The 27,954-nt window shown below is 37.0% G+C and overlaps 1 long non-coding RNA gene across 1 annotated transcript, besides 1 other annotated feature; it reads right to left on the bottom strand.

Moving 5' to 3' along the window:
- Positions 1-27,836, bottom strand: LINC02270 (long intergenic non-protein coding RNA 2270). Its single transcript, NR_125910.1, has 4 exons — positions 27,659-27,836; positions 8,109-8,235; positions 4,317-4,352; positions 1-300 (listed from the first exon to the last, which is right to left on the bottom strand). It is a non-coding gene; the product is annotated as a long intergenic non-protein coding RNA 2270 (long non-coding RNA).
- Positions 7,538-8,121: an enhancer, noted in NCBI's record as "NANOG hESC enhancer chr4:12244790-12245373 (GRCh37/hg19 assembly coordinates)". NCBI's record gives its function as "activates a minimal SCP1, AML or CMV promoter by ChIP-STARR-seq in primed H9 embryonic stem cells {active_cell/tissue: H9 hESC(primed)}" and the evidence as "EXISTENCE:reporter gene assay evidence [ECO:0000049][PMID:30033119]".
- Positions 27,837-27,954: the final 118 nt, after the last annotated feature.

Genomic DNA, 27,954 nt, shown 5'->3' with positions numbered 1-27,954 from the left:
TTTCAAACCACAGATGCTCCTGTTTATTATCTCTTTGACTGTAAGTTGCAGAATTCCTGTTACATTTTCCTCTGATTTAAATTTAAATAATAACACCCTACCTAACAGGGTTTTTGTGAGAATTAAATTAGATCATAAAGGTGAAACTTTCTCGTACAGTGTCTACAGCACCATTACAAGTAACTTCTGCATTTCTGAGGTTACTGTAAGATGCTTTATGATAAGGGAATCCAGGATTTCCCAAACTCTGCCTTATCCACGTGGCTGCTGTTCTTCTCTGTTGATATTCGAGGAAGATATCTGCAAAGGGAGGAGAGGAAACCACAAGGAATTTAGACTTTAAAATTATCAGAGAGCTTTTGCCTAAAATCTAATGCAGAGTTTTGGGTCAACTGGTGAATTGGGCTAAAGGAAGTGCCTTAGGCTGAAAGCCTCTGAGTGTCTCCTTTCTTTTCTTTTCTTTTCTTCTCTCTCTCTCTGTTTGTGTGTGTGTGTGTGTGTGTGTGTGTGTGCGCTTCTTTCTCCTTCTTTCTCTCCATGTAAACAAAAATGGTAGCATCAGCCTCATCCTCTGTATAGAAATGGAAGATACGAGAGCACCAACATGTAGACAGGAAGAAAGAGTGAGAGAGATAACACAGGCACATTGCTTTTGAGCCTGCATGGCACCTTGTCTTAGGCACACAGAGAAAACCATCCATATGTTGATGTGTATGTGTGTCTGTTCCATAACCACACTCACTGGAAAACATGTACCGGACAAGGAGTTCTGTCCCATCAACTTTAAAACTCCTGAAGAATTGTTAGAAAGGAAGTGATGCACTATCTGTGCAAGGAAGGAAAAGAGTAAGTGTCCTGTTTATCTTGTTTACCCTCTGCTTGAAGTCTTCATGTGTAAGAGGTACAGCAAAACATTCTGATTTTCTTTCCTGAAATTTCTGTTGGAGTCTCCTATCCTAGGATTTTACTCAGTAAGCACACAAATTTAGAGAATAGACGTTCTATTAGGCTGTTTGATGTATGTGAATTAGTTTAATTAAGATAATAAGAAAACCAGTTAGGGAAATTGTACAGTTCAGGATTGTGTGGCTTCAGCTGCAACTGAATGCAGGTGTTTGTGATGCAGTCACATCCCTGCCTTTTACAATATCTCTTAGCTTCATTTTTCTCTGTGTGTTTCAACTTTTGGTACTCCTGCCACATGATGGAGCAGGGCCAAAGATCCACTATCTTTGAATAATCTGCTATCTTTGAACATCTATGCCCCTTCCCCTAAAAAAGGAGTCTCAGTGACAGTTTCTAACCAGTATCTTTGAACATCTATACATTCTCCTCCAAGAAGGAGTCTTATTGACTCTGTCTAACCCATAAGATTCTACTTGGATCAAATGCTAGGTCCCTCTAAGAAATAGGGTTCTCTCTTTGGATAAAATAATGAATGACTATCATTTCTTGTACCCTAGTTATGTTTAGGGAATTACCCATATAACGAATTCCATGTCCGCATGATGTTAGCCTAAAATGCCCTCTTCTAGCATCCAGGGAATAGACATGAGTATTACATTTCACCTCTCAGACTCATCCATGTAAGATTCATTCAGAATAGAGCAAAGGGAGGAAGTAGGTGCTATGAAGAATACAGCAAGGGTACTGGTTGACACCACAAATGTCCATGTACCTTCATCAGTATCTTCAGACTTTGTTTCTGGCCATGCATTCTCTTGCATGAATGACTGTGACATTCTCACAGATAATTTGTGCCACCTCACAAGAAATTCAAGGTTTGTTGTCATTTTTGCTAAATTAGAAAGAATTGGTTCATATGTTTGCAACTAATAACCCTGATTGTTATTTATAGCTAACCTGGGTCAGCAGCCCATCCTGTTGTTGGGGAAGTAGCTTGATAGCAAATTGACATGATTTGGGAAAGAGTCATTTCTCCAATGAAGGCAATGCTGGACTGTCAAAAGACTCACATAGGTCTGACATTAGGTAGCAGGAATCGTCACTTGTGGAGTTATTCATTGATTTGTTAATTAATTAAAATCTCTGTGGATTGGCTGGGCACGGTGGCTCATGCCTGTAATACCAGCACTTTGGAAGGCAGATGTGGGCAGATCATGAGGTCAGGAGTTCGAGACCAGCCTGACCAACATGGTGAAACCCCGTCTCTACTAAAAATACAAAAATTAGCCGAGCGTGGTGGCGGGAGCCTGTAATCCCAGTGACTCAGGAGGCTGAGGCAGGAGAATCATTTGAACCCGGGAGGTGGAGTTTGCAGTGAACCGAGATCGTGCCACTGCACTCCAGCCTGGGCAACAGAGTAAGACTCTGACTAAAAAAAAAAAAAAAAACCAAAACCAAAAACAACAACAACAACTGAAAACAACTCTGTGAATCATTCTCCAATGAACGAATGTGCTTATTTTATCTGCTTGGCTGGTTCCCCACTAGCTCTTTATGTGAAGCCAGTCAGCACAGATATGCTGCTGGGACAGGCACCTGAACCTGCCATGAAGTTCAGAACCACAAGCTCTGATTTCCTTTTTCTCCTTCACCCATAAACTCCAACTTTGGTTCCTTCTACTAATACCAATTTTTAATTGCCTTCTTTGATTCTTTTCTATTTTGATGGTTAATTCCTTCTTTGGCTTTTTTTTCAACTCATTTGCAATTCTGCATACTGTCCTGATTTGTGCATTTCACACAGAGGGTCAGTAGGAGCTCTTTTGTCATCTTGGCCTCATTAGACTTCATTCCTGAGGTCAATTCCCATTCTCCATTTCTGTAAGGGAGAGATAGTTCCTATATCATGTCGGCACCCTTATCACTATTGAAATATCCACCATACATTCCAAATGGGAACTGAGGGATTCTGACCCATTACCTTGTCTTTCTCTGTATCCCAAAATTGAGCATTGTTAATATTTATGGAGGGCCCATCAAAGGCGAATATACAGCTGGTATCTTAATACAATTGGCCATTGAGTTATTGCTGAAACCTCATTCTTTTTCAAATCAATTTTCTACAAAATTTTGTATGATCTTGTGTCAGTTTTCAACTCAGCTTTTATAAGCCCATTAGTGATGTTGCAGTTTCCCCTGGGGGTTTACTGGTCCAAGGTATTCTTATGTAGCAGATGTTATAAAGCAGCTGGAAGATGCCGGTTTGCATAGACAAGGTAAACCATATGTATAGGAAATAGAAACAGTGAATTTTGTAATAAAGTAAAACTAAATTGTTTGCGAGTCAGTGTTACTCTTTAAAATAGGATGATGATAAAGGGAGATGCTAAGAAATGGCGGTTCAGCCCTGCCTCTAAGTCTGTGTTTGTAACTTTGAGCTGATCTTGTCATCCATTGAGATCTCAGCTTCTTTGACTGTAAAATGAAGAATGTAGATTAAATCAGGTGTCAGAAAACATTTTTAATGTAAATGTTTTAGGCTTTGTTATTTGTTGCAACTGCTCAGTTCTACCCATTAAATGTGAGAACAGCCATAGAAAATATGTAAGCCAGTGAACACGGCTATCTTCCAATAATACTTTATTCACAAAACAGTGGACCAATTTGGTCCATGGTTCATAGTTTGCTGATCCCTTTACTAAGTGATCTCTAAAGGTCACATCTGCCCCAATATTATCTGCTCTCAAATGCATATGACCTCTCTGGAGAGCAAGATTTCCAAAGTAATTTTAAAACCAAATTCTAGAAATGATACATTACTTACATTTAGTTGTCTTTTGGGATATTTTTCATGATCCCTAGACCTTCCTTCTGGTTCTTCAATACTACCAGCCCTTCATTTTCATGCATATGTGCACACACACATACACATGCACAAACACACATGCACACATTTCCCGCACAAGTTCAAATTGTCCTGTTCTCAAAATGCTACCACTTAAAAAGCAATGTCCTAAATGCGTTCATAACTTAGAGGCAATTTTGATAACTTCTAAGATACAGACTGTGTCCCTAACAAGGTGACCTATTAATAATATCATTTTTTTCATCAATTCAGCCAATATTTATTTAGGACTTATTGTGTACTCAACACTGCTTTGAGTTTGGGATAGAATAGTGACAAAACACTTGTGACCCATATCGTCGTGGTCTATATAGTCTGGCATAATTGATTTAACATTTCAACATCACACCTGCTTAATAAGGTATATTAATGCAGTGCTAAAAATACAAGAGAATGAATTGATGTTCTAGTTTTAATTTAACACCTGGATGATGTTAGCTCAGTTCTTTATGTTTTATGAGCTTCACTTTCCTCAGCTGTAAAATAAGAATAGTTACAAACTTACCTTACATTTTCTTGTGTGATTTTAGAATTCTTCCACCTGAAAAGATAGTTATTTGTATATGCTCAATTCTGTTTGAAACATTTAAGGCCTAGTATCATAGGCTTCATAATAAATCAAGCAAACACATCAAAGGAATAACTTTCTGCCAAGTTTTATTCCGGAATCACTAAAATAATGTCCTTTAGCACTCTGGGAATAAGTTGCATTTGGTTTGATGATTTTTTTCTTTGCATTAATTCTTAATCTTTCAGGTATTAGGTGGATGGCAAGGTGATAGCTGTTTTAGATCTTCAAAAATTGAAGAAAAGGAAAACATTTATAATTTACATTATGCTTGAACTGCTCCCACCCACTTAACTGCTAGTTTCAGGTTTTTCATTATCCTTACTAGTAATTAACTTACCTGAGGATAATCAACACATAATAAAGTGTTACAGCAGAAGAAATTAGGCTCTACGCATTTCCTAGAATTATTGTGAGAATAACAGAAATAATATATTCAAGATGTACTCATCTCTCTGGAGGACCACACCTTTATTAGTGAATGTTCTGCAAAGAAACAGAACCAATGGGAGATAGAAAGATACATGAACAGATAGATAGATAGATAGATAGATAGATAGATAGATAGATAGATAGACAGATAGATAGATAGATAGACAAATAGGTAGATGGAAAGAAAGAAATAAAGAAAAGAAAGAAAAAGAAAGAAAGGAGGGAGGGAGGGAGGGAGGGAGGGAGGGAAGGGATTTATTATAAGGAGTTGGTTCACATGGCTATGGAAACTGAGAAGTCCCACTATCAGCTCTCTGAAAGCTGGAGGCACATGAGAGATGGTTATGAAGTTCTAGTCCACGTCTAAAGGCCTGAGAACCAGGGAAGTCAATGGTCTAAGTTGCAGTCTGAGTGTGAAGGTCCAAGAGCCAGGAATGTCAGTGTCTGAAGGTATAAGATGATGGTTGTCTCATTTCAAGAAGAGAGAAAATTTACTCATCTTCCACCTTGTCGTTCTATTTTGACTTTCAATGAGTTGGTTGATGCCCATTCACATTGAGAAGGGTAATCCTTTTTACTCAGGCTACCAGTTCAGTGCTAATCTCTGAGAAATACCCTGCCGGACACATTCATAAATAGTTTTTTTTTTTTTCAGCTACCTGCGCATCCTTTTGCTCAGTCAAGTTGACACATAAAATTAGCCATCACAACACCCTCGTTTTGGCCATTCAATTGCATTTCTTATTGGAGTGATTTCTCCATCCTTTCATGTCTGGACTCACATGAAACTGTTTACTGCACACAGACTTGCTAATGTAATAGGTCTACAGAATAAAAATATTCGGTTGCACTCTACAAAGAAGGGAAAGGTAGTTGTGTAGAATATGAAATGGGTAAGAAAGCTTGGGAGTTTCCCAAAAAGTTTTTTCTTCTTGAATGAGACTCTGGATTGAAGCACCGAATTCTGAATCTCTTCTTTGAGGCCTTCGTCCAATACTCAAATTACCTCTAATTTAATCAATTGCTTTGGAACAGATTCACCTATTCAAAGCAAGTGCTACAGCAGATCGCACTTTGATGTGCTGTGGTTTATCCTGTTCCTGGGTCTTTACTAGGCTTTTCCATAGAACCCTTTCTCCATCCCCACCCTTCAGTTTCACAACTCCTGTTTATCCCTTAGACCTCAGTTTAAACATGTTTTTTTCCAAGAATGCTTTCTTGAGAACTTTAACATATGCCAAGAATAATTTTCTTTAACTAACTCCAACCCGTTTTCATCAAACTGTTCTTAACCGTAGATATGTTGACTCAGAACAATTTTTAAGAGCATTTGTTTCTTCATCCATCCCCTCCCTCAACAAGCCTGCCTCCCTTAAGTCTTCCCATCTCAGTAAGTGGAAACTTCATTCTTGTAGCTGATTACAAACTTGGCAACACCATTAGCTCTTCTTTTTTCGTTTGTATCTCACATTCAATCTGTCAGAGAAGCTTGCTGGTGCAGCCTTCAAAATAAATTTAAAATACCACCAATTTTTGCCAACACCACTGCTATCCTTTTTCAAACCATCATCACTTCCTGCCTGGGTAAAAGTAATGTTTTAACTGGTCTTCCTTCTGTCAGTTTTGCCCTCTGTAATCTTTTTTTTTTTTTTTTTTTTTTTTTTTTCAGACAGAGTCTCGCGCTATTGCCCAGGCTGGAGTGCAGTGGTGTGATCTCGGTTCAATGCAACCTCCGCCTCCCGGGTTCAAGCAATTCTCCTGCCTTAGCCGCCTGAGCAGCTGGGACTACGGATGCTTGTCACCACACCCAGCTAATTTTTCTATTTTTAGTAGAGACGGGGTTTCACCCTGTTGGCCAGGATGGTCTTGAACTCCTGACCTCGTGATCCACCCACCTCAGCCTTCCAAAATGCTGGGATTAGAGGCATGAGCCACCGCACCCGGCCTCTGTAATCTATTTTTAACACAGAAGCAGAGTGATGATTTCGAATGTAAGTGATATCATGCCACTCTTCTGCCCAAAATGACAACCAAATCCTAACAATCAATTTACGAAGACTTCAATGATCTCACAGCATCCTCTGTTCAACTTTGTCTCATGTCCTGGTATTTTATCCTTTCTTCTACCCTGCAACCATACTTACCCTTTGGCTAGTTCTTGAGGATACTAAGAACTCACTCTTCCAGGGATTTAGCTCTGTGGTGCCCTCTGTCTTAAACACTCTTGGCTCAGATACCAACGTGACATATCTCTCACTCTTTCAAGGATTTATTTAAATATCACTTTATGGGTGAGAATTCCTTTGCCTGCTCTAATTACAGTTGCAAGAACATGTACCATCAGCCTGGTTGTTCCTATTCTCCTTCTCTGAATTTTTAAAAAATCTACAACATTCTATATTTTTCTTCCTTATTTTACTGTTTTCTAACTTTTCCAAATAAACCATGAGAAGACAAGAATTTTGCTTATAGCTGTGTCCTCAGCAGACAGAATTTTGCCTGACATGGCAGGAGGCATTCAATAAATATCTGTTTAATAGAAATTTCAGATCTGAGATAATTGCATGAGCTATAAATTGTTTCAAAAATTACATATAGATGTATCAGTTTTTTTCCCAAATTGGCCATGTCAAACACTTTATCAGCGTGATTTGTTTTTACTGGTAGTGATGTTAAGAGAGATTCCATTTGACCTATTTATTTTGGAAGTGATTCGACTATGAGTCCACTGTCTAAAGAGGTTCTAATCAAGTTAATTATTTTTTTTATCAGAAATCTTCCGAAGTTTTCCTGGTTTGTGGTGTTATTCCTGTATAATAAACCTGGGATGGCAAAAAAATGATATAAATAAGCAAAGCTGGCTTGCTTCTACCCTTGTTTCTACATATTTCTACATGTTCTACCCTCATTCTTACTTTCCTGTGAATGAGAAGGAGCTTTATCAGTGCTGAAGAGAAAATTGAGAAATCAAAACATGTCCTTAGGTTACCTCCCTGAGAGTTGAAGCTTTTAGTAGGAAGAGTAAAGAAATGTAAATATAAGAGGATTTTAACAATGGTTCTTCACATTCCTTTCACTTTACCTCTCAAGTATGTGGTGAGAGCCTTTTTTTTTTTTTTTTTTTTTTGAGACGGAGTCTCGCTCTTTGCCCAGGCTGGAGTGCGGCGACGCTATCTCGGCTCACTGCAAGCTCTGCCTCCTGGGTTCACGCCATTTTCCTGCCTCAGCCTCCCGAGTAGCTGGGAATACAGGCGTCAGACCCTTTGTCTTGGTAAAAACTCCAAAGTCCTGGCTTACCTGGAACCAGAGGATGGACTATGAGAACAGAGATCTGGAGAAGGTGGGCAGGACTTCCTATAGCGGAGGCTAAAATCTTTCTGACAACTTCTCTGTGATTCAGGAAGCTTAACAGAGTGGAATAAATCTAAGAGTTTGGGGAAAAAGAAAAAAAAAGCAACAAAAACACTGTTAGTGATAGAGTGTACATCCATAGGAAATGAGTACGTGAGGAGGCATGTATACCTTGGAAATTTGATGTCTTTGCCTACTCTTACTCTTCAGCCTGCATAATCATTATTGTCTATTGTTATCAATTACATAGTAATAAGGGGTGAAATGATGTTGAAAAGTCAAGGGCTTCTCAGTTAACTAGAGCTGCCTTACTGGTTGGGTTATTTCACTGTTCGACTTATACATTTCCTTTATTGTTCTTTGTTCTTTATTTTATTGTTTTTTGCTTGTTTGTTTGTTTATAACATATGAGTTGCTAAACACCTAAAGCTTACAGTAAAAGAGCCAGAGAGGCAACATGAGCTCTATTTCAGAAATGAGTTCTTATCCTTGGTTTTACGTCTTGTTATCTGTGTGGCCTTGGGAAAGTTGCTTAACTTCATACTTCCCAGGACCTACTCAGAAAGGGGCAGGAACATCAGTTAATGTGTTAACCATCAGTTAGTGTGTCACTCTGATTTTTCAAAGAGAAACTGCTTCCCAGCGGTGAAATTCAGTCTCACCTGCAATGTTGTGTGTATATTTAAGCCAGTTGGCTTGGCTCTTGTGTGATTTTTATGATTGATGAGTTTTCCTATTTTCATCATGATGTTCCTCTGAGAGAAGAAACCAGAACTGAGGCCAGATTGATAACAATCTCATTATGGCCTTATTATTGTTCTGGTCCTGGAGATCCATAACTTGGTTTTCTATTAGCCCATTACTCAAATGAGACTGTTGGAAAGCAAAAGCTTCTGTTGTGAGGCAGCATGAGCCACCTGGCTTTTGGAAATGCCTGTTTGGATGCACTGAAGATGAGAAAGCTATGTGGAGTGGCCAGCACAAAGGATGCTTTTTCTTCCTTGTGCATCTGTATTCGTGTGAGGATACAGTCTCCCTGGAAAGAGAGATGCATAAGACCTATTAACATTTAGAGGATAAATGCACACTCACTAAGAGGTAAATATGCCTATTAACGTAAGAAACATGCATCAATTTCACTGGCAATCTCACACAGGCAAACACTAATGTTGTGAGGACAGAAAGATCCAAGGGCGGCTTGAAATGGATAGGTTTTAATTTAAGAAACATTATAAGGAAAAAAAAGTTGTGACCTTAAAAAGATGAAGAAAACTTGGCATTGGAATCTGAACAAGATATCTGCAGGTTTTCTGTTCCTGAGATTTCAAGAGCAGGAAAACTGAGTAAGAAAAGGAATGAGAGAAAATCTACCTTCTACATTGCAGATTGTGCCATTATCCATTTAATCCTAAATTTAGGATAAATCATAATCTCCTTGCATTAGTTCGCTAGGACTGCCATAACAAAGTTATGCACAGACTGGATGGCTTAAACAACAGAAATTTGTTGTCTCACAGTTTTGGAGACCAGAATTGTTGATTTCTTCTGAGACCTCTCTCCCTGCGCTGTGGATGTCAGTCTTCTCCCTGTGCCTGTGCATCTTCACTCCTTAGTTTTTTTCTGTCTTTGTCCTAATTTCCTCTTATTATAAGGGCACCAGTCATATTGGATTACGGCTTGCCATAATGATCTCATTTTACCTTAATTAATTCTTTAAAGACCTTATATCTAAATGTAGTCACATGCTGAGGTATATTCATGACACACATGCTGGGGATGAGGACTCAGCATATGAATTTTAAAGGGACACAATTCCATCTGTCACCCTCCTCCATGAAAAATCTAAGTGATGGGTCCTCTTAGCCCATTTTTCAGAAGAGAAAAATGAATGTTCTGAAAGGTTGAAACGCTGTCATATTCAAACAGCTTTAAAAAATACAGAGAGTAGCTGAATCACAGAAAACAGTGACTTGCTCTTTCCTTCCCTCCAAGATGTCCTTTGCTTCCTTGATTAACATTTAGGAAGAATGGACCTAGAAAAGGGAAAAACATAAAAACACAAAATCATAATGCTGCTCCTCCGATTTCTGGGTTTTTATGTAATTATAATTACTAGTATACTAAGAAACAACCCATGATCTTGAAAGCATTCATTTAATTTCTCACAAAACTGTCTAAACAATGGAACTTAAAATAAGTGAACAAATATTTGGTTAAAATATTTGGATAAATTATGTATCTGTGAATATTTTCCACGTGCATACTTAAATATGAAATATTAAGATGTGTGAGGCATGTCATAAGAACAAATATGTCTTGTTTGAAAAAATGCAAGTAAATAATCTTATTTTCAGTTTTGTAAGTTTAGAGTTTTTCCTACGAAACTTCAGTCTTTATGGAATCCTAATACGACGTTCTTATTTCTATATGGGATTTAGCTACTATAAATTGGGAGAAATTAAGAGTGACATCTATTTATCTTGACATTCTATATATAGTTTTTTCAAGGTAAATCTATTAATACTGCTTTATTCAAAACATAATATGGCACAATCAAAGTTGTATCAAAGTCTGTTAGGTAGATTCATGACAAGTCATCATTACTAAATTGTTCACAGTGGTAGAAAGGGGTGATGGAAAGATGACTTGAGTAAAACTGAGGAATCCTTCAGTTTATTTTAAGCTCAGCTACAAACCTGTCTGATGATACTGAGCAGGCTACGAAAGCTTTCCAGGCATCAGTTTACTTACTAGTAAAAATAGAAATCCCCAACATGTAATTAGCAAATTAGATCATATGTGTGTAAACTTCAAGAATGTATAAATGTAAAATATTATTGCTATTATTATTATTTTTCTTTGTCTTTCCTAAGGAAGAAAATTGTCTGCTTGTATTCTAAGCACTTTGTAAACAAACACTAGGTATTCAATGAACAGGGAGCAAAATCTAGTTCTCAGCTAGCTGATAGAGTGAGGGAGAGAGACAGGGTGGGTGGTTTGTGATTAAACACTCCAAATGTTCCATGCTAAAATAGATATCAGTGTGGTATGCCCTGGGAGCATAATAAAGGACACCCCTGATGGAGTAAGCAGGGATGAGGAGGGAGTCAGAAAGTTTCCTAGAGATGACACTGAAACAAAGTTAATTAGTATGAGCAGGAGGTAGCCGAGTCAATCAAATACTTTTTCATACAGAATACATTCCATAAGCGATTGCTTTATAACCAATTAAACTCTTCACACAAAATATAATGGGAGACTTAATTATGTTTTGATATAATTTGTGATTTTTAAAAATAAATAAATGGTTGGTTTCTTTCTACAAGATTTCCTGTGGATTTTCAAAAACTTTCAATTATTTCTAGATATTAATATTAATACTTCTAATGTGGTGATTCTGACATGGCAGGTTGTATTTCCAAAAACAGTCACAACATTTCCTATTTTGCATCTTCCTCTACAATGTGACTTTGGCCCTCCTTTCATGGAAGGATGAAGCCTCTGCTTCTTCCCTTAAATGAGAGTGTGCTTCCAAATCCTTTAACAGATAGAGAATGCCAGATATGATGCTGTATAACTTCTCAGGCTGCCTCATGAAAGGTGATGCACCTTTGCCTTTTTCACTGAAATACCTGTGCTTGGAACACACACACTTTAAATATGCTGCAACTGTTAAACTGTGAGGAAGCCAAGCTACATAGTAGGCAAACGTTGGGGCTCTGAACAGCAGGATTAGTCTTTGATCTTCCCAGGCCAGGCACCAGCCATGTGAGTGAACAACCCTTTCGATGGTATTCTTTCCAGGCTCAAGTTTCCCCCTAGCTTTTGAGTCTTTCAGCCATAGTCCCCAACATCAAGTAATGTAGTGTAGACAAACTATGCCCTGAGGTACATTATGAATTCCCAACCTCTAAAATCCAGGAACATAATTAAATGTTTGCAGTAAGCTGACACGTTTTGGGCCAGTTTGTTATGGAGTGAAGAATCAGAATAAAACTTGACACCAAAATTGTGATGCTGCTGTAACAAAAACCTAAATCATGTGGCATTAACTGTGGCCCAAACAGTGGGCTGAATCTTGAAGGGCCTTGAGGAGAATATCAGAGAACACTGGAGTGCTAGGGAGGAAATTGTTACAGGAGGCTGAAAACAAGGTAATTCTTGAAGTGCAGTAGCAACAAGTTTTGGTGGAGTCTTCCCTGTGATGATGTGTAAAATAGAAAATAATTTTAATTAACTAGTGGATTTGACTGAGAAAACTTCCAATATGGAATATGAAATAAGATGATTATTTGATGTATTTTAGCTAACATATGGATAGAGAGAAGTGAGCCAACAAGAAATTGTCGGGTTTTAAAGCAACTAAAATTTATAGGAATTATAAAGGAGCCAGGATTTGTTGGGTTATTAAAAACAAAGAACAAAAAACAAAAATGCAAAATCATGTGATAAAGAGCCACTGGGCAAAAATAAAACACAGAGTACTTGCAGAATAAATATAAAGCCAAGGTTATTATTGCAGAAATCCTTTGTAATACTTTAGAACTATATTAGGTGGTACCTCGTAGAACCTTTAAAATAGACTGAGGCCTTCTAAGGATCTCAACATTGTGCTTTACAGACCATCTCTCTTAAACTATAGGGCTTCTGAGAATCTGAAGAGCCTCCCAGAAACCTAATCCAGAGAAAATTTGTAGAAGTATGCTTAGTCTAATGGAATAAATTATAAATCAATATACAAGAAACCCAAAAAGTTTTATTTTCATTTATTTACTAATTTTTACTAATTTGACTAATTTTATTTATTTACTAAACTAATTTATTTGGAGACAGGGTCTTGCTCTCTTGCACAGACAGCAGTGCAGGGGCGGTACCAGTAGAGCTCATTGCCCAGGCTGCAATGCAGGGGCAGTGCCAATATAGCTCATTGCAGCCTTGAATTCCTGGGCTCAAGAGATCCTCCTGCCTCAGCCTTTGAGTAACTAGGACTACAGGTATGTGCCAACGTGGCATGCCATTTAAATATATGTGTATGTGTGTCTCTGTGTGTGTATATATATATATTTATATATATATATATATATACACACACACACACACACACACATATATATATATATATATATATATATTTGTGGAGACATGATCTCCATCTCATTATGTTGCCCAAGCTAGGCTTTAAGTGATCCTTCTGCCTTGACCTCCCAAAGTAGTGAGATTACAGGCATGAGCTGCCACACCTGGCTCTAGAAAGTTTTTAAGAGAAAAGGACTGAAAGGAACAGATAGTATAAAGAGAAAATAGACTTTTGAGAAACCAGATTTTAATAGGCAGAAAGTTGGCTGAGAGGGACACTTAGTTACAAACATGCATCCTATCTAAAAATGTAGAAAACTGATTGATTTGGAAGGTTGGGGCACGACCACAGAGTGCAGAGCCAAGAGTCAAGGGTAACAATTAAAAAGGAGTAGCATGGAATTCTAATCAAGAACTGATGATGTGTGCTTGCTTGCATTTTAGAAATTGTTATTATCTGGTGTCTTCTATTTTGTGTGCCTTTGAATGAAAATGACTACAGTGGTTGTCACGTGCCTGTCCCACTATTGAATTGTGTGTGTGTGTGTGTGTGTGTGTGTGTGTGTGTGTGTGAGAGAGAGAGAGAGAGAGAGAGTTGGGAGGTATATAGTCTCCTGTCTCTTTAGTTTACAGATTTTTAAATTGATAGAAACTGCACTAGAGTTGTCGTACAAAAGGGGCTTCATCTGAACATGGACCTGGTTTTGATAATGAAATCTTAAACTTCCATCTGATTCCATAATAGTAGAAAACTTGGAAGTGTTGGGGAGGGCGAATGTATTTTCTAAGTTGAAGGGATGTAAATTGTTGGGACTAGAAGTCAAATTGGAGAGAGTTGTATCTTCAAAAGATATCTATAACTGTATTGCACGTATTTATTTATAGTGTGAATTTGCAACTTCTCCCCTCAAAATGAGGAAAGAAAAAAGGCCTTGTGATTGCTTTGAGTATGGCAGAAATGACATTCTTCCATTTGCAAGATGTGATCCAAAAGGTGATGCAGATTTTGCTTCACTTATTGGAAAACTCATACTTCAGTCCCTTCATGAAGGCAGTCTAACTGCCGTGGAACTGCTATGCTGAGAAAATTAAGCTACGTGGTGATTTTGCATGTATGCATGAGAGTAAGCAGTTCTAGCCCTTGATTCATTCCATCCCAGGCACCGGACCTGTCAGGGAAAGAACCTTAAAATGATCTCAACCCCCAATCATCACATTATGGTTAGTCTTTAATTCATCCAAGTAGAGGTCCCATATGTTATGACGCAGAGACAAGCATTGTGTAATGTCCATGTGGCTGTCCTTCAGAATGTGAGACTGTAATTAAGAAATTTCAGATAAAGCCACTAAGTCTGACTTGATCTGTGATGCAATACTAGTAACCAAAATGGTACATTTTAAATAAAAATGTATTATATTTCAAACCTATATCCATATTGTAAAATAAATCCACACATATCTAAGAATATAAAGCCAAAAGTAAAAGATCTCTTCACACATACCCTCAGAACAAAAGGAGTTAGTACTCTTGGTAAAAGTAGTCCCCGTTTGAAGCTAGATGTGCATTCTTCCAGATACTTTATACACTTACATATTTTATAGATACTCTCTTTTGAGGGATAATAATAATAATTTGTGGAATACTATTCATATGGTTCAAAATTTTTGCCATTTGAATGTAACTGGTTATGTTGGAAATCGTAACATTGCAGCTTATGTATAAATATATATGATTGCTTTTAACATCTAAATACAGAAATGAGATATGACTTTCATGGACATTAGCAATTTTTTTCTTCATAAGCCTCTTAAGATACTAATAATATTCTTTATTACTTTTTGGTATAAATGAGTATAATTAAGGATGAACTAATCATATAATAATTGCTATAATAATTATTATATTCACTGTTTTAGTTGATTTTGAAAGATTAAACTTAGAACATTTGTGTCAGCTTTAGGCACTGTGTCTACTAAGCTTAGAAGTTGGTTCTGACCTAATAGAGTCTTTATTGTGGATGTTTATAATTTGTTTAATCATTTTTGAATTGAATAGTTTTTTTTGAAGTTTCTACTGTGAAAATAATTTTTTTTGTTAAAAATGCTGCAGTTTACATGCTTGTACCTTTTCCCCTTTAAGTGCATGCATAAATATTTCTCTAGAACACATATCTGCAGTTACATTTTTTACCTTGATAAGTATGTGCATTTTTAAAATTTTAATAAATACTCTCAAATTGCCTTCTCAGAAAACTAGCAATTTATAGTCTTTATAACAGTGTTTATTCATTGACACACAAAGTGTGTTTGTTCAATTGACACACAAAAATCAACAGCATTGTAGTATGCCAACAGCAAATTCATTGAAGGAAATCCAAAAAGCAATGCCATTTGCAGGATCTACAAAGAAAATACCTAAGAATAAATTTAAACAAGGAGGTGAAAGACCTCTACAAGTAGAACTATAAAACACTGAGGAAATAAAAAGATTACAAAAAATGAAAGATATCCTATGTCCCTGGACTGGAAGAATTAATTTTGTGAAAATTACTGTACTACCAAAACTAATCTACAGATTCAATGCAATCTTGCAGTGTCATATACCAATGTCATTCTTTATAAAAAAGCCTAAAATTAATATGGTAACAGGAAGTCTAGAATAGCCAAAGCAATGTTGAGCAAAAAGGAACAAAGTTGGAGGCATAACAGTACCTGACTTCAAAATATACTACAAAGCTATAGAAAGAAAACAACATGTTACTGGCATAAAAACAGACACATAGGCCAATGGAACAAAATAGAGAACTTAGAAATAAATCCATGTGCTTACAGCTAACTGATTTTTGCAAAGGCCTCAAGAACATTCAGTGGGAGAAAGGACAGTCTCTTCAATAAATGATACTGCAGAAACTTGATATCCATATGCAAAAAAAGAAAACTAGACCCTTATATCTCACCATATATAAAAATCAAATCAAAATGGATTAAAAACTTAAATGTAATACCTGAAAGTATAAAACTACCAGAAGAAAACATTGGAAAAATGCTTTAGGACATTGGTCTTGGCAAAAAATTTTTGGATAAGACCCCAAAAGCACAGATAACAAAAGTAAAATAGACCAATGGGATTACATTAAGCTAAAATGTTTCTTCACAGAATAAAAACAGTCAATAGAATGACGAAACAATCAATCTATATAATGGAAGTTTTAATATTTGCAGATTTATCCATCTGCTGAAAGATTAATAACAAAAATATATAAGGAACTCAACTCAGTAGCATGAAAACAAATAATCCAATTAAAAATGGGCAAATGATCTGGAAAGACGTACAAATGGACAATGGGCATATTAAAAAATATTCAGTATCACTGATCATCAGAGGAATGCATATTAAAACCACAATGAGATATTTTCTCACCCCAGTTAAAATGGCTATTATCAAAAAGATTTTTAAAAGGATGCTGGTGAGCCTTTGGAGAAAGGGGAATGCAAGTACACTACTAGTGGGAATGTGAATTGGTACAGCCACTATAGAAAACAGTATGAAACTTTCTCAAAAAAAAAAAACTAAAAGTAAATTTACCATGTAATCCAGTAACCCTCCTGGTGGATATATAGACAAAAGAAATGAAATCGGTATATAGAATAGATATCTGCATTACCATATTCATTAAAGCACTATTAATAGTAGTGCTTTATTAATAGTAGGCAAAATATGTAATCAACCTAAGAGTCCATCGACAGATGAGTGGATAAAGAAAATGGGGTGTGTATATATATAATGGAATATGTATTTGTCCATTTTCATACTGCCATGAATAAATACCCAAGACTGGGTAATTTGTAAAGAAAAAGAGGTTTAATGGACTCATAGTTCCACATGGCTAGGGAGGCCTCACAATCATGGCGGGAGGTGAAGGAGAAGCAAAGGCACATCTTACATGGCAGCAGGCAAGAGAGTGTGTGCAGAACTGCCCTTTATAAAATCATCAGATTTAATGAAACATGTTCAATATCACGAGAACAGCCTGGGAAAATGTGCCCTCATGTTTCAATTACCTCCCACCTGATCCCTCCCATGACATGTGGGGATTATGACAGCTACAATTCAAGATGAGATTTGGGTGGGGACACAGCCAAACGATATCAGAATATGATAAAGAATAAGTACCTGTTATTTGCAGCAACATGTGTGGAACAGGAAGCCATTATGTTAAGTGAAATAAGCCAGGTATAGAAAGACAAATATCACATGTTCTCACTTATATATGAGAGCTAAAAAAGTTCATGTAGTGAAGGTAGAGAGTGGAATTATGGGTATCAGAGAGTAGAAAGGGTGAGAGGTGGTGAAGAGAGGTTGGGTAATGGGTACAAACACACAGTTAGATAGAAGGCAAAAAGTTCAAGTGTTAGCTAGCATGGTAGGTTGACCATAGTTAACAGTAATTTATTGTACATTTCATCAAAGCTAGAAGAGAAGTTTGAAATGTTACCAACACAAATAAATTGTAACTATTTGGAGTGATGGGTATCCTAATTGTCTGAATTTGATCATTACACATTATATGCATGTCTCAAAATATCACATAGATTCCATAAATATGCACAACTATTATGTATCAATAAAAAAGCAAACAACAATTTACAAAACCTGTACAACATTATTTTATCTCCATTAAATATAATCTGCATGTGTCTCAGTTTTGTTTTGGTCCTTGAATTATCTGTTTCCGTTTGTTTTAGAAGATGGCATTGAGGGCAAGTTGCCCTTCTGAAAAGTGATTAAGAAACTGTACAGCATACCTAAGCCTGGACTTTCTACTAATTCTCGTATCAGAATAAATGTTTTCAGGTGCATTTTCATATACTGGGCAATTGGTATAACTAATAATCATGTTTTTAATGGTCGTTGGGTAAACTTATAGATGTTCACAAAAGGGAAATAAAAAGAGTAGGTACTTTTGTTTTTGTTTTCATTATATAAAACAAATAAAATCAGCTTACATTAAGTACTATGCCATGGAGATTTGAGTTGAAAATTCCTTTGTGTGAAACTTCAGTGACCTCTAATCTGATCATAGATTTGGTCATAAACTCTTTCATGGAGATAGGCCCGAAGTACACTTCTAAGCCTACCTTTTTCATCTCCTTCCCTTGTCTTTCCAATCTCCATCTTTTACTTTCAATCCCCATCTCCAGGGAGGAGAGAACAGAATGTCATGTGATTTGTGGGCTTGCTTAAACAGTCTTCTATAATGCAGACATGGTTGGTATAGAACTAGGGTTGTGGCCTTGAGTGCAGCTATTTCTAAGCAAATAGTGAACTTTGTCATCTTAAATGCTCATATTAACAAATTAGACACAATTAACAAATTAGGGAATCAAAAATATGCCCTTTTAAAAGGATCTTCAACATATTACTAAGTACGGTTATATAAACATCTATGGCTGGAAATCAATGACCATAATTGGAAAATATGAAATGGAGTGATGGGCCTGCTAGCATGAAAAAGTGTCCATGAACCCAATGTCCCAAGATTTGCCAAGAATAAGAGATGCACAGGCTTGGGGGTGGTTTCTAGTAATATTATTATTATTAAAATTAAATGATATAGCAAACTTATATTTTGACTGCTATTTATTGAGTAATGAGATAAGAAAGTAGGCTCAATTTGCCATCTTATGTGTATCAACCCATTAATGATAATTTATCCCCTGAGAGTTCCACGTTTTGATCACATTATTTGCTAATTTTACTTCGAGGAGCCTCAGAATTCTTTAAACATTGTTAGTGAATCCACAATTAAAGCAGATTCCAGTCTGTATTTAACACAACCCACATTTATAAACTTTTCAACATGTTGTTTTGTTTTACCATTTAACATCTCCTACTGGCCTCAAGATCACCTAACATAAACAAATAGGTATTAAATATTGATGACGTTCTTATTGAGAACCAGGTAATTTCACAGTAACAATAATTTTCAAATTTCGAGTTTCTCTCTTTCTCTTCCTTTTTTTTTTCTGAACCACAGAAACTTTCATGACCATTACTTACTTGAAAAGGGATTGTAAGCATGGAAAAGATGTATGTGATATCTCATAATTTAGATTTGTATATTTTTACATTATATCTAGAAATATTTACTCAATAAATATTAGGACCGGGAAAAAGGGGGAGTTTTAAATACTGCATCCAATGTCCTCATTTATAGCTGAGGAAACTGACATGCAAAGAGGTGAAATGACTTGTCCAAAATTCCTCTGCCTGTAAGTGGAAAAGCCAGGGAAATAGCTCAGGTCTTCTCTGCAGTCTAGAATCTTTCAGTATACTGTGAAATTGTTCTAATTGCAATCCAAAATCATACACCAAAGACTTGTGTCTCTATGTGTGTGTGTTGTATGTCATTTGAAAGTCAGTTGCTAAATACTCATCGAACTAATCAAAAAATGGCAGCTATGGTAATGTCTATGTGTCTATAAATATGATGGATACATAACCTTGTGTTCTTCCTGTTCCATGTGCCTGCAGCAATTGTCCTCAAAATGACCGTGGCTTCCCACAGCCTTCTCCCTTTAAAAGCTCTGCCATTTTTTCCCCACAGGAAGTTTTGTTTTCTCTTACTATAGCAGAACCACGTGGCTTGAGATTGACAAGTAACCTCTTTGCAGGTGTCATTTCCCAAGAATCAACAGCTCTGCCACAATGTTTCCAATTATGTTTGACAGCGTCCTTGTAAAAATCTGTCAACAACCTATTCAGCTTGTCACATACAAAGTACACTTTCCTAGTCTGGTCTTGTCTCCCCAGCAACAGGTATTAGGTCAAACCAAACTACACGGTCATCATGGAGAGTTAGAGCCTTACAAGGACCACCCTAGAGTGATTTTAAAAAATCACTTTTGGGCCAGACGCGGTGGCTCAAGCCTGTAATCCCAGCACTTTGGGAGCCGAGGCGGATGGATCACGAGGTCAGGAGATGGAGACCAACCTGGCTAACACGGTGAAACTCTGTCTCTACTAAACATACAAAAAATTAGCCGAGCATAGTGGCACGTGCCTGTAATCCCAGCTACTCTGGAGGCTGAGGCAGGAGAATCGCTTGAATCAGGGAGGAGGATGGAGGATGCAGTGAGCCAGATCGCATCAGTGCACTCCAGCCTGGATGACAGAGCCAGACTCCATCTAAAAAAAAAAAAAAAAAAAAAAAAAAAAAAAAATCATTTTAGGATGAAACAGAGTTATTAAGGAGACATTGCTGATTAAATTCACTGGAAGCCCATGATAGGGAGTGCCATTGAGGTTGATAGCTCTGAATACTCTGAAGAAGGCTGCACTCATACATTAATGTATTCAGCATAGTCAGGGGTTACATCTCAGACTGCTGACAGAATCTGCCGATTTGATAACTGAGCAGCCATCATTGTACACTGAGAAATCCTGGAAGAAGGAAAAAGTGCCAGGAACTATAAAGGTGAGAACGTGTCCTGATTTTTTAGAGAGGAAAAAATCAGGAATGTGTCCTCATTTTTTAGAGAGGAAATTACAGATTTTTGTCACTGTCTAACGGAGGCAATTAAATTAATGTTGTATTTGAACACTTAGGATACATAAGATCTCTCATACAGGTATGTGAAGATATCTATTATATGGGTTGACTCACAATGCATGAAATTAATGATCAATGAGAACTAACATGAGTTAAGAGCCAAGTGTTGCCAAATTTCTTAGTTGTCTTTTTTATAGAGAGTAAATAAATATTTCATAATGGAATAAACATGGTGAAATGAGAGCTGGATAATATATTTATTTGATTTCAAGGTGGTGTCATAGCGCTTTCATCATAAATGGAGAAAAAAGTTCAGTGTTAACTTTAGCTATGTTCTGCTGAGAATTTTATGTGATTTAAATGAAGCCATATGAGATCTATTTAGCAAACTTGGAACAAGTTTAAGATCTGTATTTACCAGAATTACACTCCATGAAGGCAGGGCGTTTTTCTCTCTGATTCACTGCTTGATTCCCAATTCTTAGAAAAGTGTTTGCCTGATACACATACTAAATATAATTTCATTGAATGAATGCAGAAAGCCTGGGGAAACGGAATACTATGTAAAAATGGGTGTCATCAGGTAAACAGGAACTCCAGTCCTTCTCAGGTGTCATTTACCTGATCATAGAGTTTCCAATGAGTTGGTTCATGTTGATCTCGAATTTATTCTTGGCTGCCATATTTTCTTGTGTTTCTACTCTATATGTCTTAGTAGTTCAGCCTACTACAACAAATCACCACAGACTGGGTGGCTTAAGCAACAAACATCCATCACATATCTGGAGGCTGGGAAGTCCAAGATCAAGATGCTGGCAGATCTGGTGTCTGATGAGGGCCTGCTTTCTTATTCATAGACAGCCATCTTCTGGCTGTGTCTTCATATGGTCAGAGGGGCAATGTGGCACTCGGGGATCTCTTTTATAAGGGCACTAATCCCATTCATTAGGGCTCCACTCTCACAACTTAACCTAACCTAAAGTATCTCCAAATACCATCACACTGGGAGTAAATATTTCAACATAGAAATATTGAGTGTGACACAAACATTTAGTCTAGATCACGCCTAAATGTGACTTAGTCTCTGAAGAGAGTAAATGTCTATAAAAGACATTACTGCCACTGCTTAGGTGCCTAAATGCAATCTCTACTAATGATTCCTGGGTTGAAGCTGTCAGCCTCAGAAGCCAAAAAGGGAAAGAGAAGCGTAGGAAAAATGCCTGCACAACTTCCAACTTTTCATTGCATGAAAAAACTTTTGCAATGGGGATTTAAAATGCTCAAGGCTGGAAACACCAGTGTTTGGACAGAGTGCTAACTCCTCAGTGTGGAAACAACCTCATGGCAGTGAAACACAATACGTTTTTCACATAACTTTATTGTAAATGCAAATATTACGTATCATATAGCACCGCTACTGTTGCAGGCATTCCTACCTCCACCGTGACTTCCTGTGAAATGCAATTGCACCTTCCCTGTAAAAATTTCCTTTTTCGTTGCTATGTAGAAAATCATTAACATAGCCTAAGTGATACTGCTATTCTTAGAAAGACTCCCTTGCCAGGTTGGCCCTCGGGTGGCATGTGGTAACTTCAATTTCCCACCATTCTAGGAACTGATAAATGTAGCTCCCTGTGCCTAAACCGTACAAACATTATGGTTTATGCTGAATACTTGCTTTCTTTCTGAGAGTCTGCAATACTGATACATCTGAGGCTGAGGGTTTTTACATGACCAGCTACCAATAGACACTTCAGGCACTGAGGTTGTAATGCATTCCTCTGGTAGATGATGTTTTACATGCATTGTGACAACTTGTTGCTTGAGGTATTAAGTGTGTCTTGTGTGAGTACACCATGAGAAGTCTGTTGGAAGCTTGAGTCTAGTTTTCTCTGAATTTCACCCCAGGTGCAAGAAAAGGTGACTTTTCTCTTTGCTGATTTTGCTTTGTATTCTGTTGCTAGAATAAGTCATAGCCATGAACATAATTATATACTGATTTCTATGAGTGTTCCTAGTGTATCATTAAACCTAGCAGTATTTATGGGGACCCCTGACACAATTGCCAAGAAATGAAGCACATTAACCGTACAGATTTTATCTGAGACTACATTCTGAGCGTCCCTGGAAATTATCGTAATCCAATTCTTTTAATGTCTACTTGCTTATTTAAAAATACCCATTTGACATTTTAAAATAACTAAAAGAGTATAATTGGAATGTTTGTAACACAAAGAAAGGATAAATGGTTGAGGTAATGGACAGTTCATTTACTCTGATGTGACACATTGTGTGCCTGTATCAAAATATCTTGGGTACTCCATCACAAGATATTATTTTTTACTTTTATTTTTAATTAAATTTTTCTTTTTTACTTTTACTGTTATTATTTTGTTAGTATTAGTATTTATTTTTCTACCATTATCTTATTGGATCATACTTGATTTTTACCTCACATTTGTTTGCTTGTTAATTTTTTTTACTTTTAATTTTATGAGTATATAGTAGGTATATATAATTATATATTACATGTTAATATAGATTATACAGAGATAATATATATAGTAGGTGTATATATTTTTATATATTATATATTTATACATACACCTACCTTATACCCATTGATATGGTTTGGCTGTGTCCCCCTCCAAATCTCATCTTGAATTGTAGTTCCCATAATCCCAACCTCTCATGGGAGGAACCGGGAGCAGATGATTGAATCATGAGGGAGGTTTCGCCCATCCTGTTCTTGTGATAGTGAGTTAGTTGTCTTGAGAAGTGATGGTTTTATAAGGGGCTTCCCCCTTCGTTGGACACACATTCTTCTCCTTGATGCTGCCATGTGAAGAGGAACATGTTTGCTTCCCCTTCCACCATGATTGTAACTTCCTGAGGCCTCCCCAGCCATGCTGAACTGTGAGTCAATTAAACCTCTTTCCTTTATAAATTACCCAGTCTCGGGTATCTCCTTATTAGCAGCAGGAGAATGGACTAATACACCCATAAAATTAAAAGTAAAAAAATTTAGCAAAACAAGTTAACAAAGGCATTTGTGGTAAAAAATCACATATGATCCCACAAGATAATGGGAGACAAATAATTACTAATAAAATAATGGCTAAAAGTATTGAACTTGTCTATTTAATTCATTGAGCTGATTAGTACAGCTACATCATTATTCTTCATAATTCCTTGGACACTATGATTAGTCTTTAGCATGCATTATCTCATTTAAGCTTTACAAAACTTCGATCTTTAAAATCATAAGTTTAGAAATGAAAAAACTAAGGCACTGAGAAGATAAACACCATGTCAAAAATCCCATAGCTGAAAATTAGTGGAGTGGAGAAAAGTAGTGGAGTAGTGGAAGCAATAGCTTTGTGACCTCAGAGTCTTGGTGCTCAACACTGCATAGGCTCAAATTTTCTGATCTTTAGATTTATCCTCCAATCAGATCATTACTTATTTGCCTTAAACCAGTCATGATACTCCTTGTAGGTCTCTTTTAGGATAATTCATTTTTTTTTTCACAAAAAAACTCCTGAGTTTGTTAACCATACGAACATATATGATGTGCACACCCACCCGCAGTCCTCCAGATACCAGAAATACGTCTGAATCACAGGAACAAAAATGAGTCAAGCTTGTGTTAGGGACAAAACTAAATTTTTTATGAAAGCATTTGAAACTTTGCCGTAAAGTTCATTATGTTCTCAACTTGCTGTTGCCAAAATCGTTGAGAGCAGGGATTAGATCTTAGATATACTTAACTCTTTAGCAGCATGCACAGTTTCTGGCACATACTAGGAACTTAATTTAAAAATAATGTGGTTGGCAACTAAACAAATGAGTGTTGGGCTACAGAACTTGCTTGAGGATTTGGTCAGATGGAACACGGTCCAGAGAGTTGTGTTTGGAGTCACAATTTGGATTAGAGGTTTGGACAGCAAGTGGAAGTGTTTCCACATAATATTCACAGCTGAAACATATGTTACAAATCCATAAAAATAAACGTGGCTAGAAACCACACTAAGGAAAAAAACTTATTTGCAACAATAGGAAAAGTGGCTGAGTGAATTCATATTATTGATCTATTAGGAGGAATAAAGTACATGTCTTCCATAAGCATTCAATAAGAAAAAGCAAGAGGCAGTTTTATAGGTATGAAATGATTACATTTTTATTAAAATACACAAATATGCGTGTGTGTGTGTGTGTGTGTGTGTATATATATATACTTATTTAAGAAAAGGAAAGATACATATTAATGTGTCAAGAAAGGTACAGAGATTTACCTTATACAAATGGAATGGAATGGGTTCAGGGGAATCTTTAGCTACTTTCATAAATATAAATATTTATTTCTAGCCATGGTAAGATTATGGATGATTTTGGTAGTTTATAACTATTTTTACCAATATACATACACATAAACATGTTGAGTTAGACTGATACATCTTGGTACATAAATATATTAATGTTATATCAAGTGAATAAATTTGGAATTACAAAGGAGCAGCTTGCTGATTGAGACTGTCTGTGTGTATGAGAGATACACGTGTATATATATGTGGAAGGTACACTAAACTGACATTTTTGGGGTGAATTTACGTAGGACTTTTATTTTACAGTTTGGCTATTGTAGAAAATTGCTTGCAGTGAACTAGTTTATTTTATCATGAAATAAAGAAAAACAAACCAAAAAGGCAATATTAGGGTTGGCATAGCAGAAGCAATAATTCTGCTGTAATGATGGCTAGGAAGTAAATGCTGTCCTTTTATTTATGGAAGCAAAGGTCTTCTCTAGGTCCAAAAGGATGAGGTAAAATTCAAACTTCTAAGCCTGGCATTCAAGAGCCCCTGCAATCTGGCCTCAATATAGCGTTATGACCTTGAGTCCCATATGTCTCATAAATTCCATTCTATGAAATTGTTTTGTTCATATCCTCAGAATGCACTTTGCAGAGTTCTACTTCCACAAATATCCTCATACCAAATTTTATTACCTGGAATGACATTCCTTCTCCTCTGTACCTTTCAGAGTCCTATATTCTATCCTTATTTGAATTCTTTCTTTTCCTTAAAAGCCATGTTTTCCCTGAAATCCAGTGTGGAGTTCCAATCCAGCTTGTGCAAGCTAAAGAGAATTTATTTCACCCACAACATTCATTAACACCCTAGAAACAGGTGATGAGATGCCTTAAGCCTAGCCCCTAATAATAAAAATGTCCCAAAGTTAATATATATTTGTTATGTCCCACTTCAATATTTCCCATATACATATGCATACAGAAAAACATAACGGGAACATCTACACACTGGAACAAATACTTAAGAACACTGCAAAGAGAGAGAAAGAAGTGGAGGTTTATCATGTTTTACTTCAGGGATTCCACAGTTCTATTACACTTTTTTGAATTATTGTAGATTATTAACATATTGTGATTGAAAGCATCTCCCAATTAGCCCCATGATATTCCCCAGAGAAAGCCAACTTTCCAAACTGACCAGTTGCCAAGTAAACAACGTATTAATGAGAGGTCAAGAGTCGAAGCGTGGAAGTCAGATGAAATCCTGGGTTTGGAATTCACTTCCTCTGCTTACTAGCTGTGTGGCCTTAAGTGAATTAAGTAACTTCTCTGAACCTCAGTTTCTTCATTTATAATTAGCATTGGTAATACTACAGACTGCACAGAACCACAAAAACCCTAGAAGAAAACCTAGGCAATACCATTCAGGACATAGGCATGGGCAAGGACTTCATCTCTAGAACACCAAAAGCAATGGCAACAAAAGCCAAAATTGACAAATGGGATCTAATTAAACTAAAGAGCTTCTGCACAGCAAAAGAAACTACCATCAGAGTGAACAGGCAACCTATAGAATGGGAGAAAATTTTTGCAATCTACTCATCTGACAAAGGGCTAACAGAATCTACAAAGAACTCAAACAAATTTAGAAGAAAAAAACAAGCAACCCCATCAACAAGTGGGCAAAGGATATGAACAGACACTTCTCAAAAGAAGACATTTATGCATCCAAAAGACACATGAAAAAGTGCTCATCATCACTGGCCATCAGAGAAATGCAAATCAAAACCACAATGAGATACCATCTCACACCAGTTAGAATGGCGACCGTTAAAAAGTCAGGGAACAACAGGTGCTGGACAGGATGTGGAGAAATAGGAACACTTTTACACTGTTGGTGGGACTGTAAACTAGTTCAACCATTGTGGAAGTCAGTGTGGTGATTCCTCAGGGATCTAGAACTAGAAATACCATTTGACCCAGACATCCCATTACTGGGTATATATCCAAAGGATTATAAATCATGCTGCTATAAAGACACATGCACACGTATGTTTATTGCGGCACTATTCACAATAGCAAAGACTTGGAACCAACCCAAATGTCCAACAGTGATAGACTGGATGAAGAAAATGTGGCACATATACACCATGGAATACTATGCAGCCATAAAAAATGATGAGTTCATGTTCTTTGTAGGGTCCTGGATGAAGCTGGAAACCATCATTCTAAGCAAATTATCGCAAGGTCAAAAAACCAAACACCGCATGTTCTCACTCATAGGTGGGAATTGAACAATGAGAACACATGGACACAGGGTGGGGAACATCACACACCGGGGCCTGTTGTGGGGTGGGGGGAGGGGGGAGGGATAGCATTAGGAGATATACCTAATGCTAAATGACGAGTTAATGGGTGCAGCACACCAACATGGCACATGTATACATATGTAACAAACCTGCACATCGTGCACATGTACCCTAAAACTTAAAGTATAATAAAAAAAAGTATCATATAATACGTGCAAAGTTGATGTTGTGACAAATCCGTTCCCTACCATTTACGGGCTCGACTGTCCAAACTTCAGCTACCAGCCCCTGCTGTTCCTTGGCTGATATATTTAACTGTCTGTTCTGCCTGCAAACAGGGCAGGTTGCAGGTTTTCTGTTTCATCAGCAGGACTCAACTACGACTGCTGGGCACTGGCAGTTAAATGCCCCAGTGTCCTCTTCGTTAGGCAGGATGCCTGTAAGGGTCATATCTTATACTTTGTTTCAGGTTCCCTCAGGGAAAGCAGGCCCACTGTAGTAATTGTCTGACAATCTACCTTCCGTAGCCTTTTTACCTATTGTC

This window comes from Homo sapiens, chromosome 4, assembly GCF_000001405.40.
Source record: "Homo sapiens chromosome 4, GRCh38.p14 Primary Assembly".
In the NCBI taxonomy this organism is placed as follows: Eukaryota; Metazoa; Chordata; class Mammalia; order Primates; family Hominidae; genus Homo; species Homo sapiens.
The sequence above is the reverse complement of the archived record's forward strand: the minus strand, read 5'-3'. Positions and strand labels throughout refer to the sequence as shown.